General features: G+C 37.4%; 1 protein-coding gene across 5 annotated transcripts in view; it reads right to left on the reverse strand.

Annotated features, from left to right (window-relative positions):
- AFF4 (ALF transcription elongation factor 4) overlaps positions 1-17,606 on the reverse strand; it is an 88,240-nt gene that overhangs the window by 12,794 nt on the left and 57,840 nt on the right. For 4 of the 5 annotated variants that reach the window (XM_006714587.5, NM_014423.4, XM_047417103.1 and 1 more), the window contains 9 exons: positions 16,180-16,216; positions 14,254-14,299; positions 11,399-11,453; positions 10,916-10,953; positions 10,042-10,204; positions 8,135-9,052; positions 4,842-4,930; positions 3,976-4,216; positions 891-985 (listed from right to left, as the gene is read on the reverse strand). In XM_006714587.5, the coding sequence (XP_006714650.1) occupies positions 891-985; positions 3,976-4,216; positions 4,842-4,930; positions 8,135-9,052; positions 10,042-10,204; positions 10,916-10,953; positions 11,399-11,453; positions 14,254-14,299; positions 16,180-16,216 (1,682 nt within the window). Of the gene's footprint in view, positions 1-890; positions 986-3,975; positions 4,217-4,841; positions 4,931-8,134; positions 9,053-10,041; positions 10,205-10,915; positions 10,954-11,398; positions 11,454-12,683; positions 12,943-14,253; positions 14,300-16,179; positions 16,217-17,606 lie in introns of those variants that run through there. The other variant, XM_005271964.5, reaches the window with a different exon arrangement.

Below are 17,606 nucleotides of genomic sequence, written 5' to 3' on the forward strand. Positions count from 1 at the left end.
AATAGTAAATATTTTCATAATACTAGTTCATTTCAGTATCTAGTATCCCTCAGTTTTTATGTCCTCAAGCAAAGAAAATGAGCTGTTACTAAGAATTTGTTTCAGTATTTTCTGACAAATGTTTATATCAGGTTAAAAGCATAAGTTGTTTTGACCAACTCATGGCAAACCTAATTAGGAAAACAGAAATCAAGCTCCCTAGTATCAAATACTAAGTTACTCAAGTTGATTGTAAGATTAAGCATAAATAAAATGTGAGTAGGAGAAATTACCTTTTATTAAAATAGAGGAAAAAACAATATTGCTCTTCCTCATTTAAGAAACCCTCCATTTTAACAGTGATATCAGCAGTAGTAAGATTCTTCTACTGGAAGGCAGATCATTCACATCCCTCATGGGAGTCATGGAGTTAAGCTAAAGGAGCCGTACTTGGACTAGTGGGTACTTTTCAAATTGAAACCTGAATATTCTGCAGATCATACGTAAGTATATATCCTTCTGATCAATGATAGATTTTTTTTTTTTTTGAGACGGAGTCTCGCTCTGTTGCCCAGGCGGGAGTACAGTGGCACAATCTCGGCTCACTGCAACCTCTGCCTCCCAGGTTCAAGCAGTTCTCCTGCCTCAGCCTCCTGAATAGCTGCGATTACAGGTGTGTACCACCACGCCCAGCTAATTTTTGTATTTTTAGTACAGACAGGGTTTCTCCATGTTGGTCAGGCTGGTCTCAAACTCCTGACCTCGTGATCTGCCTGCCTGGGCCTCCAAAAGAGCTGGGATTACAAGCGTGAGCCACCGCGCCCGGCCAATGATAGAAATGAAAATGAGTTTCTTATATGCTGACTGGAATCATTTCTTAAATACAGATACAAAAAATCATATTATCTCACCTGTCATCAAAGACAAGCTTTGTTCTCCGAGGCTTAGAAGAATCAAGAGTTGGTGCAGATGGAGGACAGTTAGAGGAGCTACTTGGAGCCTTTTCCTGACCAAAAAAATATATAACTACAATGAAAACCGTAAGGAGATTAAAAATGAAACTAATAGCATTTCTTCAGCCACTGGTAAAAAGGAAACAAAATTTCATTGCCTTTCATAATGAATTTCCTTGTTACAAAACTTTTATAAACTTCATAATGTAAACTTTAAAAAAAAAAAGGGTCCATTTTATATAACTGAAATATTCATTCTAATATTTATATAAGGGTCTACTATATGCCAGGCACTGGCCTAGGCAGTTGTTAAAACATAAGGAAGACAAAAGCCTAGTATGAAAATGGCAGCACTACTTACGGCAACATTTATTGGTAGTTACTGGTCAATGAAAACAGCAATAATATTAATAGCATCTAATATTTATTATGTGCTTACTACTTACCAGGCACTAAGTTAACTAAGTACTTAGCATTATTGTTAATCCTTTAACAAACCTATGAAATAAGTACTGCTATTAAGATAAAATGAAAAAGCAGTCTCAAGGAGGTTGAGTAACTTGCCTAAGTTCAAACAGGTTTTAAATGGCATTCTTGGAATTTGAGTTTCAAATTCAGAATTGCCAGACTTCAAAAGCCTAGTTACTTTCTTAAACTTTACTCTGCCTCTCATCCACATGTCTTTTTTTTATTTTAAGAGATGGGAGTCTTGCTATGTTGCCCAGGTTGATCTTAAACTCCTAGGCTCAAGTGATCCTCCCACCCCAGCCTCCTGAGTAGCCGGGACCATGGGCATGTACTACTGCACCTGGCTATATGTCTATTCTGCCTCCTATCAATATAGCCCTTTATGAAAGAGCTATGACTCTCTCTCAACTGCCTTCCATCCAGCCCTATCTTTAATAAAACGAATATACATTTTTCCATAATAAAACACCATAAACAAGTGGAATTTATTCCAGGAATGCATGGATGTTTCAACATTAGAAAACTCAATAATATATAATTTTACTTTACCTATTTACCCCATATAAAATTTTTTATATTTATATAAAAATATAAAATTTTTAAATATATAATTATACTTTGAAATGGCTTTCTGAATATTATGTTGTACTGTAACATTACTAGGATAGCTTTTCCTCTGTTTTATTTATTTATTTGTTTGAGAAAGGGTCTCACTCTGTCGCCTAGGTTGGAGTGCAGTGGTGCAATCATGGCTCACTGTGGCTTCAACCTCCTGGGCTCAAGCGATCCTCCAGCCAGCCTCCCAAAGTGTTGGAATTACAGGCCGTGAGCCACCATGCCTGGCCCCCTCTATGTTTTATAAATAGACCCATAAGGACCTACATTCAGATTTGCTTTTCAGAGGATTTCTGAAAATAAGTTTCCAAATATTTAAACACAGTTTTCTTATATAAAAACTATGTGCAATGTTGATTTTCCAGATCTAATTTTTTCTTTAGTTGATAGAATAAAAAATAGCATATTTCCTAACTAAATTACAGATTATTCTCTAATAAACTCAAATGTCACTGCCTAACTTGGAAATTGTCAAGACTAACAAATACTAACTTCAGTAACTGTTAAGTGCCAAGAGCTATTGAAATCAAAGTGGTAAGGCCCTATTCCATATTTTGTTGAAAACAACAGAGTACCAAATGACTACATTTGATCCAACAAATATTTCCTCATTACCCAGCAAGTTAAGCACCGGATAAAACACAAAATAAGACACAAATGCCTGCTTTCAAGAAGCTGACGAACTTCTTGAAGAAACTCCTTTCTTACGTGTGATAGAAGCATACACAGTGATTTTTACCTACGAGATAGCAGAATCCAAATGAGCAGGAGAGCTCACTTATTTAAAAGCAAATAAATAAATTAATTAATAAATTAATTAATTAAATTAAATAATAATTTAAAAAAGCAATAGCAGGTTTCAAGAAGCAAGCACAGAGGCCTCAAATCCTACAGTTAAAGGATGGGAAATGGAGAAAAACCATCAGCAGGCAGATGGAGAACTGGAGCAATAAAGCAGGCCAATATAAAAGTCAAGGTCCTAAGCACCTTGTGCTAACACTAAACTACTAAAGAAAGAGGTTGTTCAGCTAGAGAAAAAGCTTTCTGTGTATTTTAATTTGAGAAGTTCTTAATTAAAATAATCTCAATTTAAAAAATTTTAATTTTACCAGTTAATAAATATAATAGCTTTAAGGAGTCTTATTTTTCAACTCTCAAACCTTTGCTTACTAAATAATAGGTATTTTCTGATTTAAGTAAATTTGCTCCTGATCAGAACAGTTTAGAAAGCAAACAACCTGGTAAACAAATTGAGGTTGAGTGACTATTAAAGTACAGCCTTGAAAAAGCTCCTTTGATCCAAATCTCCAACTATAAACATGAAGAATACTCCCCTGCATTGTGAGTATCCTAGGAATAATAATTAGAAATAATTTCAGTGCTAACTTAGCTAAAGATTTCTTTTTCTATTTCATGAATCAAAGTCAAATGATTGCTTTGTCACTTTACGTAATATAACTTGTTTGTAAAGTATAATTCTGAGAAACTCAAAGCCTATTTCAAACAATATACAACAACTCAATCTTAGCAACTAGAACCACTTAGTTCTTATTTTAAAAGCTTCCATAACCAACTTTTCCAATGACTGGTTTCTATCTTTTTTTTTTTTTTTTAAATTTTAAAGTTCTTTTACAGACAGGGTCTCACCACATTGCCCAGGCTGGACTCAAATTCCTCAAATGATCCTTCCATCTTAGCCTCCCAAATAGCTGGGACTACAGGTATGAGCCACTGTACCCAAGGGTTTTTCTTTCAATATGTATGTGACCAGCTGACTTACCACCTTCACAGTCTTATATCACTGTATTCATTTATCAGGATTATTACATATAGAGGGTAAAAGACATAGGCCTATATATTTACTGAGATGTTACAATAATTTCAAAGCACAGTGTCACCCTGGAAAAGTCACATGGCAAGTTGAATGATTTTCAAAAGCCCCAGGCCCCCAACACTTTACCTTAACCTCCTTGGAGCTACTGGAAGTCTTCCCTTCGGTCTTCTTCTGCTTTGATGTGGAGGAACTGTTTTTGCTGCTGCCACTCGTCTCCTTGTTGCTGTTACTGCTTGACTTTAAGGAAGAAGACTGACTAATAGTCCTCTTCCGAGAGCCATGCTCTGTTTTTGGATCTTTTGAAGGAACAGGCCCAGCGGGAGAAGGCAACAAATCCTTTTCTTTTGCAGCACTCTGCTTAGATGACCTGCCAAACCAAACGAATGCCTTCATTTCTCCACACAGTAATACAGGGGTAATTGATTTTTCCATTTCTCTTTGTCTGCTTTCAAGACAAATCTGTTTTTCCCCATTTGATTACTAGGACACATGATTTCTATAAAACAAAATAAGACTGTAAATTCCATGAAGGTAGGCATCTTCTCTGTTTTTATTCCCGTGGTTGTAAATCCAGGGCCAAAAACTGACCTACCACTCAGTAGTACTCAATAAATATTGGCTGAATGATTGAACAAATTGATGAATGGTGAATGAAGAGATTACCACTTTTAAGTTGGCAACCAGTCTCTTGGAAATTACAGATAAGTTTGCCATCTAACCAGAAAGTGGCATAGCTTTACTTTAATTCTCCCCCCATACTCACCCCTACCCCAATAAAAAATGAATAAAGGAAGAACTAATTAAATGTTAAATGTTTTCCATCCCTATTAGCTAAAAGTGAAAGCTCCCACTATTTGGCATATGTTATGTGTATGCATTTATATAACACTTGCTTACTAAAAGGAACACTCAGAGCATGTCAGAAAGTACCCACTATCAAATGATATACATATATTAACAACACTGGCATGCAACATGTTTTGGGAACGTACTCTCTGTTGCTGGATGGCTTATGGCCTGCTGAATTCTTGTCCTCCGTTTTGGGTTTCTTGCTCTCACTGGCTCGGTTATCATCTTCATTCTAGATGAAAAATAGAAACCGTGGTCTGATTTTTATTCAACTAACTTCAGCTTCCAGCACTAGCTACCCACAAAGAGTTTATCCATGATTAGGCATCAGAAAGAAGATAAAAGAGAAGTACTATAATTCATTTAAATAATATTCAAGAAGATGAGGTTTTAAGGCTGAGGTCGCCTATTTTAGATACACAAAACCCAGAGACTGAAACGCATTTCCTACAGTCTCTAAGATGGCATCTTTTCAATGTAATGATTTGGGAGGTAGTATCTGTGAAATTATAATTAAGATATAATTTACATAACATAAAATTCACTCTTTAGAAGTGCACAATTCCATAACATTTGGTATATTCAGAGTTGTACAACCATTACCACAATGAAATTTTAATTTTATTTATTTAGTTATTTATTTATTTTTCAGACGGAGTCTTGTTCTGTCGCCCAGGCTGGAGTGCAGTGGCACGATCTCAGCTCACTGCAACCTCTACCTCCCAGGTTCAAGCGATTCTCCTGCCTCAGCCTCCCAGCTAATTTTTTGTATTTTTAGTAGAGACGGGGTTTCACCATGGCCAGGATGGTCTCAATCTCCTGACCTCATGATCCGCCCGCCTTGGCCTCCCAAAGTGCTGGGATTACAGGTGTGAGCCACTGCACCCGGCTTAATGAATTTTAAAATATTTTCATTATCCTGAAAACACACTCTATACCCATTAGTAGTCACTCCCCATCTCCTCCTCCCCCAGACACTGGCAATCACATTTCATCTTTATAGATTTGCCTATTCTAGACATTTCAGGAAAATGGATCATTCAATATATGTGGCCTTTGTGGCTCCTTTCATTTAGTGTAACATTTTTAAGGTTCATCCATGTTGCAGCATGGATTAGTACTGCATTCTCATTTATGGCTGAATAGTATTCACTGCATAGAATTTATTCATTTCGTTTAGTCATTCATCAGGTGATGGCCATTTGGGTTGTCTCCACTTTTTGGCTAATATGAATAATGCTACTATGAACATTCAAGTACAAGTTTTTGTGTGGACATGTTTTCATTTCTCTTGGATATATAACTAGCAGTACAACTGCAGATCAAAAGGTAACTCTATGTTTAACTTTTTCAGTAACTACCAAACTATGTTCCAAAGCAGTGGTATCATTTCTATTCTCATCAGCACCATATCAAAGTTCCAACTTTTTCACAACTTTGCCAACATTTTTTATGGTCCATACTTTTGATCATAGCACAGCCTAGTGACTCAAAAAACTTTCTGATGGAAAACACAAGTGGTGGGCCCATCCATTGCCAATGTTACTTTTCTAAGTGAATCTAAGTTTTCCTTTTGCTTCAAATATCAGGGCACGAGAATGCAAATATTCTACCATAACAAAAGAATCTGTTCCCCTATACAAATGAATAAAGACAGACAAATGAAAACATGAGAAAAAGAAATCTACATCCTTTATTACCCTTAACTGGGTCTTCTCTTAGTACTACCTGCTTTACCTCCAGGTACTGCCCTTGACACTTTATATTTTAAATGTCTGAATACCTTATAGAAGGGCCAGGTGTGGTGGCTGACACCTGTAATGCCAGTGCTTTGGGAGGCTGAGGTGGGAGGACTGCTTGATTCCAGGAGTTTGAGACCAGTTTGAGCAATATAGCAAGATACCATCTCTATAAAAAATTAGCCAGGTGTGGGGTCGCATGCCTGTAGTCCTAGCTACTTGGGAGGCTGAGGAGGGAGGATCACTTGAACCCGGCAGTTTGAGGTTGCAGTGAGCTATGAATGCCATGGCACTCCAGCCTAGGTGACAGAGTAATACCCTGTCTCTAAAAGTAAGAAAAATAAAATAAAATCTTACAAAAAAAGTAATACTTTTTAAGCACAAAAGGACCATTTTTTAAAATTCCATAAAAAAAGTCCTAGCTTCCAAAAGAGCAGAGTCTATCATACACAAGCTCTTATTCCACATTATTCTATGAATTAAATCCCACAGCCAAGTCCAGCGATCTGAGGCTGTGGGCTACAGGGGCCAGCAGCCCTAAACAGCTTACTAGTTGAGCAAAACATCTCTATACTATGATAATGGAAACTCATTAGGTATAGTATAGAGAGTAGTAAGCTTTGGTTTTCTAAAAATTTAAATAATGTGGACAATTTCAATTTTTAAAGATTCAAAAAAGAAGTCATGTATTATTCTAATTTGTCTGAATATATATCATCTGCACGTGGCACTGTGGTTTTATGAAAAGGAGAGAGGAAAATATCTCACTCCATTTTAAGAAAGTGCTCTATTCTCCCTGTAGTATATGTGATTCTCAGGTCAACTGGAGTGGTGTTTGTGTTCTAAGTTTACTTACTTGGTAAGGCCATTCTGGTACCTATCTGTTCACCTACTCAAGCTTAACTTCTGGTCTTTCACAATCATAGACATGTATCGGAAGAAATTATAGTATTCTTTGATATAGACTACTTAAAACTTTACATTCTCCTGTAAATTCCTCACTAGAGCTGAAAAGATCAGGCTGTTTTTCCCACAGTCTCTATATATGTAGTGATTCAGATCTCTTCATTGTACGATTATTATCCTCCAATCACAGACATGCGTGAGTTTTCACATTTCCTTAGTCTAAGAAAAGCAGACCTTAAATATACAAATTTTGCCTCTATATCCAAAATTATCTTGGAAGTATTTAGGGATGACAGCTGGCTATAAGCCAGCAATATTTTTAGTTCTGACCTTTGTTAAGGAAAATAAGCTGGGGCATAGAGGTGCATAGCAGATTAGTTATTTAAGTGTGACTTGGTCTGGGTGTACATCAGAAGAGAATGGTAGGGATTATAACAATACGGGGAGTACATATCCAAACTAAAAACACCTAAAACCAAAATGTTGAGAATGTTGCAAATGCCAATTTGCAAGCTGCTGCTCTCTAACCTCTACACTGGCCAGCACATGCTGAAAAGCACTGACTCATTTCTTATTTCATTAGCAACTATTCTGCTTTACTGAAGGACACAGGCAGAAGCACAGAAATCCTCAAGAGACTGTTCCACATGTAGCCTCGCCTGGGCCTTGGGTTTACCCACTATTTTCCTTCACAGCTTATGACCCACCTTGTTACTTTGTGGCTTACTGAGATTTCCACCGCATTTCAGATTCTGATGTTTCAAAACAAACAACAAAAACCCTTCACAAACCTTATGCTTCCTCTTGCCTTTGTTGGAAACTTTTTCTGAGGCTTGTTTCTGAGCCTCTCTCGTGTGCTTTTCTGGCACATTTTTCTTTTCCCCCTTGGGCGGCTCTGTTTCTTTGTAAGGCTTTCCTGGTATTCTAGTCAAAAGATTCAGGTCAATCTTCACAATAAGTGGGTACCTGTCATCAGGCTCACTGAGGGGTGAAAGAAGTTCCTTCTCTTCCATAGGAGAGAACATTCGTTGCCGAAAAAAGCTATCTTCTTCCTCCACTGAGGAGGGTTTAACAGGAGTCCTATTGCTCTCGGGGTACTTAGGAGTTTGTGAGGAAGGAGGAAGGCTCTCACTTTCATCTGAATCTGAGGATGAGGTATCTGTTTCTATGATTTCCCTTGATTTCTGGGAAGATTTACTTGTTGACTTATATTTCTTTTTCTCTGCTGTAGGTCGAGGGGAAGACTTAGACTCCTTCTTTATATTGGGTTTCCTTGAGCCTTTGGTGGCTGCTTTGTGTCTGCTGGAGGGCATGCTGCTAGCCAAGTCTACAGGGGTTTCACTTTCTATCTTCAGGCCTCCACGAGGCTCTTCAGCAGCTGCCTTCTCAGCCTTTTTGGGTTGTTTTTTGCCTACAGTTCTTCTCTGTGTTGTGCTGTCACTCTGTGCAGGAGATTTCTGCCTCCCACGCCCACTTTCTGATCCCTTTTGGATGGTTTTGGAGTCTCGTCCCGGAGTAGCGGAACTCGTTTCTTTAGGTCCACTTGTATCAGTGTAGCTATTCCCAGTGCCCTGCTCTCGGCCTTCCTTTTTGTAGCCTTGAGATGATGGGATGTTACTGTCCACTGAAGAGGCGGGTGACACTTTATGTGGGTTCACTTTATTCAGCCAATTATCAAGTTGCCATTTGTTTGTTGGCGGGGGTTCAGGCTGAAAAACAGAGAAATATGTATGCTTTTTTCGATACTGAATGCTTTTTTCGTTCTCCCTCCTTTACAACCTCAAAGAAGAGGAAAAACCACAATGCCTAATGCAACAAAAGCAAATGGTTCTCTATGAACCAAAGCAAAGGGCTGAGTATTGACTATTAGCTCTTATCATCTGAATAAGAAGATAAGTGGCCAGGCACGGTGGCTCACACCTGTAATCCCAGCACTTTGGGAGGCTGAGGTGGGCGGATCATGAGATCAGGAGTTTGAGACCAGTCTGACCAACATGGTGAAATCCTGTCTCTATTAAAAATACAAAAATTAGTCAGATGCGGTGGCGCACGCCTGTAATCCCAGCTACTCAGGAGGCTGAGGCAGGAGAATCACTTGAACCCGGGAGGCGGAGGTTGCAGTGAGCCAAAACTGAGCCACTGCACTCCAGCCTGGGTGACAGAGTAAGACTCCATCTTAAAAAAAAAAAAAAAGATAAGCTTAATGTTATATATGACCTTTAAATAGCAAATATTCCTATTCAAGAATCCAATTTCAAAGGCATAATTACAAATTACCGTACAGAATATTTAATTCTAGAAAGTAAACAAATGATGTAGGTACAAAGAGATTTTTAACTGCAATTTAACAAGCTATACCAAAATTGTATTACATAAGACTCTTTTTATCAACAACATGATGTTCTTTGTAACCACAGAACATCAATTACCATGTTGAGTCATAAAAATAAAAGACCAAACTAAAGGTACACAGTATTTTAGTGACCTGTAATATGCCAAGCAGTTCCTAATCTAGACCGAATTTGTTCAAACAACAAGGAACCATCTAGATTTCCTCCAACGTACACAGTACAATTTCTTTTTGTCAGACTATGGAACCTTCTTTCCTTCTCCTTTTATATTTGGATCAGGTTTTAAATGGACATCACCAAGGACCCTGAGAGGGCCTGTGGAAGGTACCCCACCGCCTCTGTCTCACCTCGGGAGATGCACTCTGGGATGGCTCATTTGCCTCACTGTCACTGGAACTACTTTCACTCTCTGAGTCAGATCCAGAGCTGCTTTCAGATCCACTGTGGCTACTAGAATCATCCCTGGAGTTATCTGCTCCTTCACTATTATGGTGTGAAGGTTCAGAGTTACTAAAAGAGATGAAATATACAAATGTCCAAAGTTTATTTTACATTGACAACAGGAAAACATCCAAATCGACAACCAACTTTCTTTTTTTCTTCTTGTCTTTTTTTTTTTTAGACGGAGTCTTGCTCTGTGGCCCAGGCTGGAATGCAGTGGCACGATCTCAGCTCACTGCAACCTCCGCCTTCCAGGTTCAAGCAATTCTCCTGTCTCAGCCTCCCAAGTAGCTGGGACTACAGGCGTCCACCACCACGCCCGGCTAATTTCTGTACTTTTAGTAGAGACGGGGTTTCACCATATTGGTCAGGTGGGTCTCAAACTCCTGGCCTCAGGTGATCCACCCGCCTCGGCCTCCCAAAGTGCTGGGATTACAGGCGTGAGCCACCGCGCCCGGCTGCAACTTTCTTTAAAATGTTTACTATGTGTTAGACTGCTATAATTCTATGAATCCAGAGCTTCACTGTAAATGAAATGAGTAATTCTTTTTAAAGTTTCTGATGTGCTACTTAGCTATTAATACTCACCTTTTAAAAACAGTTTGAGGTATAATACACAAAACACCCACTTTAAGTGTATAATTCAATGACTTAATTTACAGAATTGTACAACCATTATCAAAATTAATATTTACTTATAAGGCCACTTATTATATCCCTGCAATGTTATCAGGCTGACCCAACTCTTACCAATAAAACAGAAAAGAAAAGGATGCCCACCTTCCTGGTGTACTCCTCGGCATTGTCTTATCACAATCCTAAAATTAAAACATAAGAAAGAATCTGTGAATGAATAAACAGTATTCTATTTGCTTAGTGTGAATAATATCTGAACTCTTAACAGAAAAAACTGGATTCTCTAATGTATGCAACAATATTTAGCACTTATACTGTTTTTACCTGAAGAGTAACTGAATTGCCAGAATAAGATCAAAAGCTTTGTTAATAGTTATTATTGTCAATAATCTACTGCTTCATGAGTATGTTTTGATCCATAATAAATGTTGAGGAAAACCCAATTTTTTAAAAAAATAAGAAAAAAATGGAGATTTAAAAACAGAGAAGAAAACTACAACATTTCAGTGTCAGAAAGCTTATAAGAAACTTATTTTAAGTAATAAATGCATTATTCAATTATCATTTTTATAAAATACAATGAAAATACTATATGAGACTGGCAAAATAATACAATAGTAGACACACCTGTTCCCCATCACTGTCTTCACTGCTGCTTAGTTTTAAGTCATCTTTTAACATACTAGAGGGAAAAGACAAAGAATTATTATTTTTGGAACAGTTTACATGGTATGCCAGAGTACTAAATATCTACTAAAAATTCTAGAAATAATCACTGTGGTAGCCAAAAATTTAACCAAAAAACAAAACACCAGTAAGTCTTATTCTATCTGGTTTGGTTCAAAATCTCAAAATTGAGAATGGAGGAATTTAACCATTCCTAAGCTCTATCCTTCCCATGAATAAAATATTCACCTTTTCTAATTAAACAAAAGCTACTTTCTATAAACTCTCATAATTCAGTTCTGTAATCTCTAACTTTTCCCCTAGTTGCACACACACATTCATTATTAAAAATTAACAAAGTCATACCCAACAATCCACTAGAGAGATATAATTCCTAAAAAGAAGGAAGATAAAATGAAAGCATCAAGCAATTCTTCCTTTGTCCCCCATGTTCCATAAAGAGAGGTTAGTATAACTGTTGACAACTGGGTAACTGTGAAAACCAGAACGGTTTCCTAAGCCAAAGTTCTAGTTCATAAATGCCTTGCTATGAAACAAAGTGCCCTCTGTAGAAATAAATATTTTGGGTAAAAGTCCTGGCTATATAGCAGAAATGGCTATGTATATATTTTTAAAACTTTGAAGTTCTGGCTGGGTGCGGTGGCTCATGCCTGTAATCCCACTACTTTGGGAGGCTGAGGTTGGCGGATCACCTGAAGTCATGAGTTCGAGACCAGCCAGGCCAACAGGGTGAAACCCTGTCTCTACTAAAAATACAAAAATTAGCCTGGCGTGGTGGTGGGCACCTGTAATCCTAGCTACCCAGGAGGATGAGGTAGGAGGAGAATTGCTTGAACCCGGGAGCTGGAGGTTGCAGTGAGCCGACATCCCATCACTGCACTCCAGCCTAGGCGACAGAGCGAGACTCTGTCTCAAAAAAACAAAACAAAACAAAAAAAACTCCCAAGTTCCAAAATCTCCGTTGATCAAACTTCAAATCAATTAAAACACATACACACAAATACTATAAGCTGACAGTTTCTGGAATTTGTTTTTGAAAGCAAAATTAAAGATGTAAATTTTCTTTTAAGGCCATAAAATCAAAACCATTAAACTTAAAATTTTCTATGTAACAGTCCACAAAACATTCCTTGTCTTTTTACATGGGAGGAAAAATTAATACAAAGCTTAGGGAGAACTACAACTAGGAAAATGTCTAATTTCTCATTATCAGTAATTCCATTACCTTTCTTAAAATTTCATTACAATCTCCAATCAGTGAGAAGGAAATCTTCTTTCACTCTATTAACTACTTGTACTTTTCCTCCTCAAAGTTTAACCAACATTTCTATATCTGACCCTAAGTTCAAAATATTACATATTAAACACCACCTTGAAATAAAGTAACCAGATGATTTTTAAGACTGGCCCAATTAAACAGAACAGGGAAAAAAGAGTTTTCTTTCAGACAGGGGCTTAGTGCATCTATCTCTACGACTGATTTTCCTCTAAGGAAATGTACTTAGTCTGAATTCTCTCGGCCTTTATGATTTAACAATGGCAGCTCAATGAACTTGTTTACACATGTGAATATGTCAAAGCTTTTACCAGACTGCTCAGGGCCCTGCACGCTTTTGTTCCCTCACAATCAAAGTGATAGGTATATATATGGTAAGACCACATCCGTTCTTTACATATAAATAAGTATGATGAATAGGAGTATAATTTGAATTTTTCAGCAGTGAAGGGGGTACTTCTTGTGTTCATGTATTTTCATTCTTAGTTCTTATATTCAGCTGAAGTGCTACCAGGCTAGGGTCATCACAGTATAGTCTGTGACTATGGCATAGAAAGCTGGCACTGTAGTCACTGCTTCTTTAGAACTTTGCTTTAATCACTGAGTTAACTTGTGGTCTCAGGAGTTCAGGAGTTCATTCTTTAAGTTGGAATTTATTTTCATCCAATACATTACCCTGTTACATTTTTATATATATTCCTGCTTCTACCAACAAAATAAAAATAAGAAAACTTAAAGACAGTACAAACTATGTATGTTACTTAATCTAGTGGTTAAATGAAGGGCTTGGCCTAAAGAAGAATCCTGTCTTTATTTTATGACTTATTAAATATAAATTAGGAATATACACACAAAAACATACACATACAACTCTCAGATGAGAAAAAACCATGATCTCAGAGCAAAGGTGGGCAAACTGTGGCCCACAAGCCAAATCCAACCTACCACATTGTTTTAAAGAGTGTGGCTGGAATACTGCCACACTTAGGGTCTACAGCTGCTTTCATACTACAGATGGCAGAGCTGAGCAGTCAAAACACAGACTATGTGGCTCTGAAAGCCTAAATATTTCACTATCTGACCCTTTACATAAAAATTTGCATGCTCATGCCTTAAATATTTCTTTTATTTTTTAATTTTTCTGAGATCAAGTCTCGCTCTGTGGCCCAGGCTGGAGTGAAGTGGCACGATCTCGGCTCCCTACAACCTCCACCTCCCAGGTTCAAGTAATTCTCCTGCCTCAGCCTTCCAAGTAGCTGGGATTACAGGCGCTCGCCACCACGCCTGGCTAATTTTTTTATTTTTAGTAGAGAAGGGGTTTCACCACGTTGGCCAGGCTGGTCTCGAACTCCTGACCTCACGTGATCTGCCTGCCTTGGCCTCCCAAAGTGCTAGGATTACAGGTGTCAGCCACCCTGCCCAGCCTCAATATTTCTAAATACTGTTCAAAATACCTAGATATTACAGGTAACTTTTAGCAAAAATGATAAATATTAAACTCATTAAGCAATAAACTTACGATTTAGACTGGTGCCCATTTGAAGTTTTAGAAGGATTATATCTTTCTGGAACAAAAAGAATGAAGTGAGCAACTAAAGGATGGCTATTTAGACTGTAAAATGTCTATGTAAAATACCCTCAAATAAATGTAAATCAAACAATGAAATATAATTCTTCAACCACCAAACTGGTAACACCTTCAAGCCCAATAATATGAGATACTGGTGACTACAGGGGAAATAAGCATGTGCATATGTTGCTGGTAGGACTATAAACTCATACGATCTTCTTGAAGGGCAATCTGGTAATACCTTCTCAGTACTGTAATTATATTGCTAAGTGACTTAATAATTCCAATGAAAGGAATTTACATTACAGGTATAATCTTGAGGAATACACGAACACACAAGCACACACTTGGGAATGTTTATTATAGCCTGGTTTGTAATGGCAAAAACTGGAAAAAAATGTCCATCGATAGGGGACTAGTGAAATAAATTAAGATATTTTCATATTATAACATAATTTTAAGGTTAAACAATGAGCTAGAGCTTTATGCTGATATAGAAATAGCTCTAAAACAAAGTGAAAAACACAAATAATGAGTAGAGGCAGCTTATGATCCCATTTGTGAACAGCTTTCAGAAAAGAGAATGAGAGAAGAGTAGAAGGATGAAGCATTCTTAAAAGATGACGACTAGGGAAAACAAGCTGAGAAAAAAAAGGAAACAAAAAGAAGAGAGAAAATGTAAATTCTCTGGCCTATAGTTAGCTATTTTCTGCATTTTAACATTTTCTGCATAATTAACAATGTCAAATCCCTTTTTCCTGTAAGCTACGGCCTTTAAGGTGGAACTAAGAAATTGATAGACAGATAAAGAAAGCATAACATCAAAAGAGGTATTCTTCTAGTTTTATCCCTGCATTAAGATCACTGAAGATAAACTAAGGATCAAAAAGTTCCACATTTTCATTTCCAAAATACCTTATGACTAGTACAAATCTACCTTAATTAAGAAGTTACTGCTCTTGGCAAAAAGAATACCTGTTTTGTTACAGAGGTATACGGTAAAGCCCAGACATTTGCATTGGTTCCTGATCTTACCACTCTCAATCTACACAACCACAATCTCTTGGGACCATAAGACTATCTTCCCTAGAATTCTTCTGACAGGCCAAGAGAGTAAGGGTAAAGGTGAGGGTATAGCAGGCAGCAGATTTTCTACCCAGATCAGAAAACCAAGGAAGAAAAAACAGGGACTGTACAAATATAAGAAGAAAAGGGCCATGGTCAGCTAAATAAAATGACCCTTCTTGTGCGGAGTTTTATCATCATAGAGCCAAGTATCTTCATGAAGTAAGTTAAAAGAAAGAAGAATAACTCTTGAGTTTACGAGGTGCCCATCAAATTGTATTCATGAACTATTAGTTCAAATGCTTAATAAAAGTAGTGTATTTTGATCTCCAATGACTTACAGTTCTTGAATTTTTTAAAGCATAACAATTTTTCAGCTCAACCCACTACTACCCATTAGATCATAAAAATTAGGATACGAGGGCATGGTGGCTCACACCAGTAATCCCAACACTTTGGGAGGCGAGGCAGGTGGATCACTTGAGCTCAGGAGTTCGAGACCAGCCTGTGCAACATAGTGAGACCCTATCTCTACTAAAAATTTAAAAAATCAGCCAGGCATAGTGGCATGTGCCCACAGTCCCAGCTACTCAGTAGGCTGAGGCAGGAGGATCACTTGAGCCCTGGAGATCGAGGCTGCAGTGAGCTACGACCACACCACTACACTCCAGAAAAAAAAAAAAAGAAAACAAAAATGAAAAAGGATATGACATGTAAAGGTATTACTAAAGTTATATATGGTGTGACCATGAAAACTGAATGTTCAATAAATAGCTTAATTTGAAAACAAAGAGGGAAAGAAATACTCACTTTGTTCTCCAGTGCCAAAATTGGACTGCTGAGACTCCTAAGAAAAAGGAACATAAAATTATACAAAGTTACACTAAAAAAGAAAGATTAGTGAAAAATGCTTAAATTACATAAAAACACTTCAAGTACTTGAAAAAGCACAGAAAGAATGTAATGATCCTGTCTGATCAGCCTTGGCAATTTTGGGATCAATAATGGACTTTCCCAGAGATTAATACAAAAAGCATTAAGCCACCTAATAATCTTTATCATTCAATTCTTTCAGCAGCATCCATTGTAGTCATATCCTTATTTAGAGCCCTTTATAAAATAACTAATTTCAATTTAAAATTCTTGGTCTTAAGAAAACACTTCATTTAAAACTAAAGGTAATACCGAAGACAGTGTACCAGGTGAAGATAGCTGTATAACCTTTATCCATTAGAAGTATACCACTTTTTTGGGAGGCCGAGGCTGGCGGATCATGAGGTCAGGAGATCAAGACCATCCTGGCCAACATGGTGAAACCCCGTCTCTACGAAAAATACAAAAATTAGTTGGGCGTGGTGGCGTGCACCTGTAGTCCCAGCTACTCGGGAGGCTGAGGCAGGAGAATCACTTGAACCCTGGGAGGCGGAGGTTGCAGTGAGCCGAGATCGCGCCACTGCACTCCAGCCTGGCAACAGGGCGAGACTCCATCTCAAAAAAAAAAAAAAAAAAGTATACCACTTTTATGGACTAAAAAAATCCCATATGGATATTTCCATGTCATTTTACTCCCTCCTTCTCCCTGCTCCCAATATTTTATATACATTAGCAACGTGAGGAAGAGATGGTCATTTACTTCCATGTAAGCCCTATAACAGCATAGTGTCCAGCACTCAGGAAGCACCAATAGAAAGAAGCCAGAATGTCACCCTTAGTGAAACATGGCTTTCCAAACTCAATTTTCATGACCAGAACAGCTGTTCCATATGTGCAAACTATGCATTTCTCAAAATTAAATCTGGATACAAGATGTAGCACTAAAATTATACAAATATTCCTAAAAGCTTACTTAAAAATAAGCATAATCTTCCTTTAGTTACAGAATTGTCTGTGAAAGAACAATCCAAATAGTTAGAAAGCTAAAATATAGTTTTGCGGTTAAAAAACATTAAAAACCTATTTCTACACTCAACTGATTTTCCAAGAGGATGCCAAGACCATTATATGGGAAAGAATAGTCTTTTTAACAACGGTGCTGGACAAACTGAATATCCATGGGCAAAATAAAGCTGGGCCTTTATATCACATCATATTAAAAACAAAACAAAACAAAACAAAAAACTCAAGAAGGATCAAAGACCTATAAATGTAAAAGCTAGAGCTATAAAATCTTTAGAAAAAAACACAATGCCAAATCTAAATGACCTGGGATTTGGCAAGATAAACTTGACTTAATCAAA

The sequence above is a fragment of the Homo sapiens genome, chromosome 5 (genome assembly GCF_000001405.40).
Source record: "Homo sapiens chromosome 5, GRCh38.p14 Primary Assembly".
In the NCBI taxonomy this organism is placed as follows: Eukaryota; Metazoa; Chordata; class Mammalia; order Primates; family Hominidae; genus Homo; species Homo sapiens.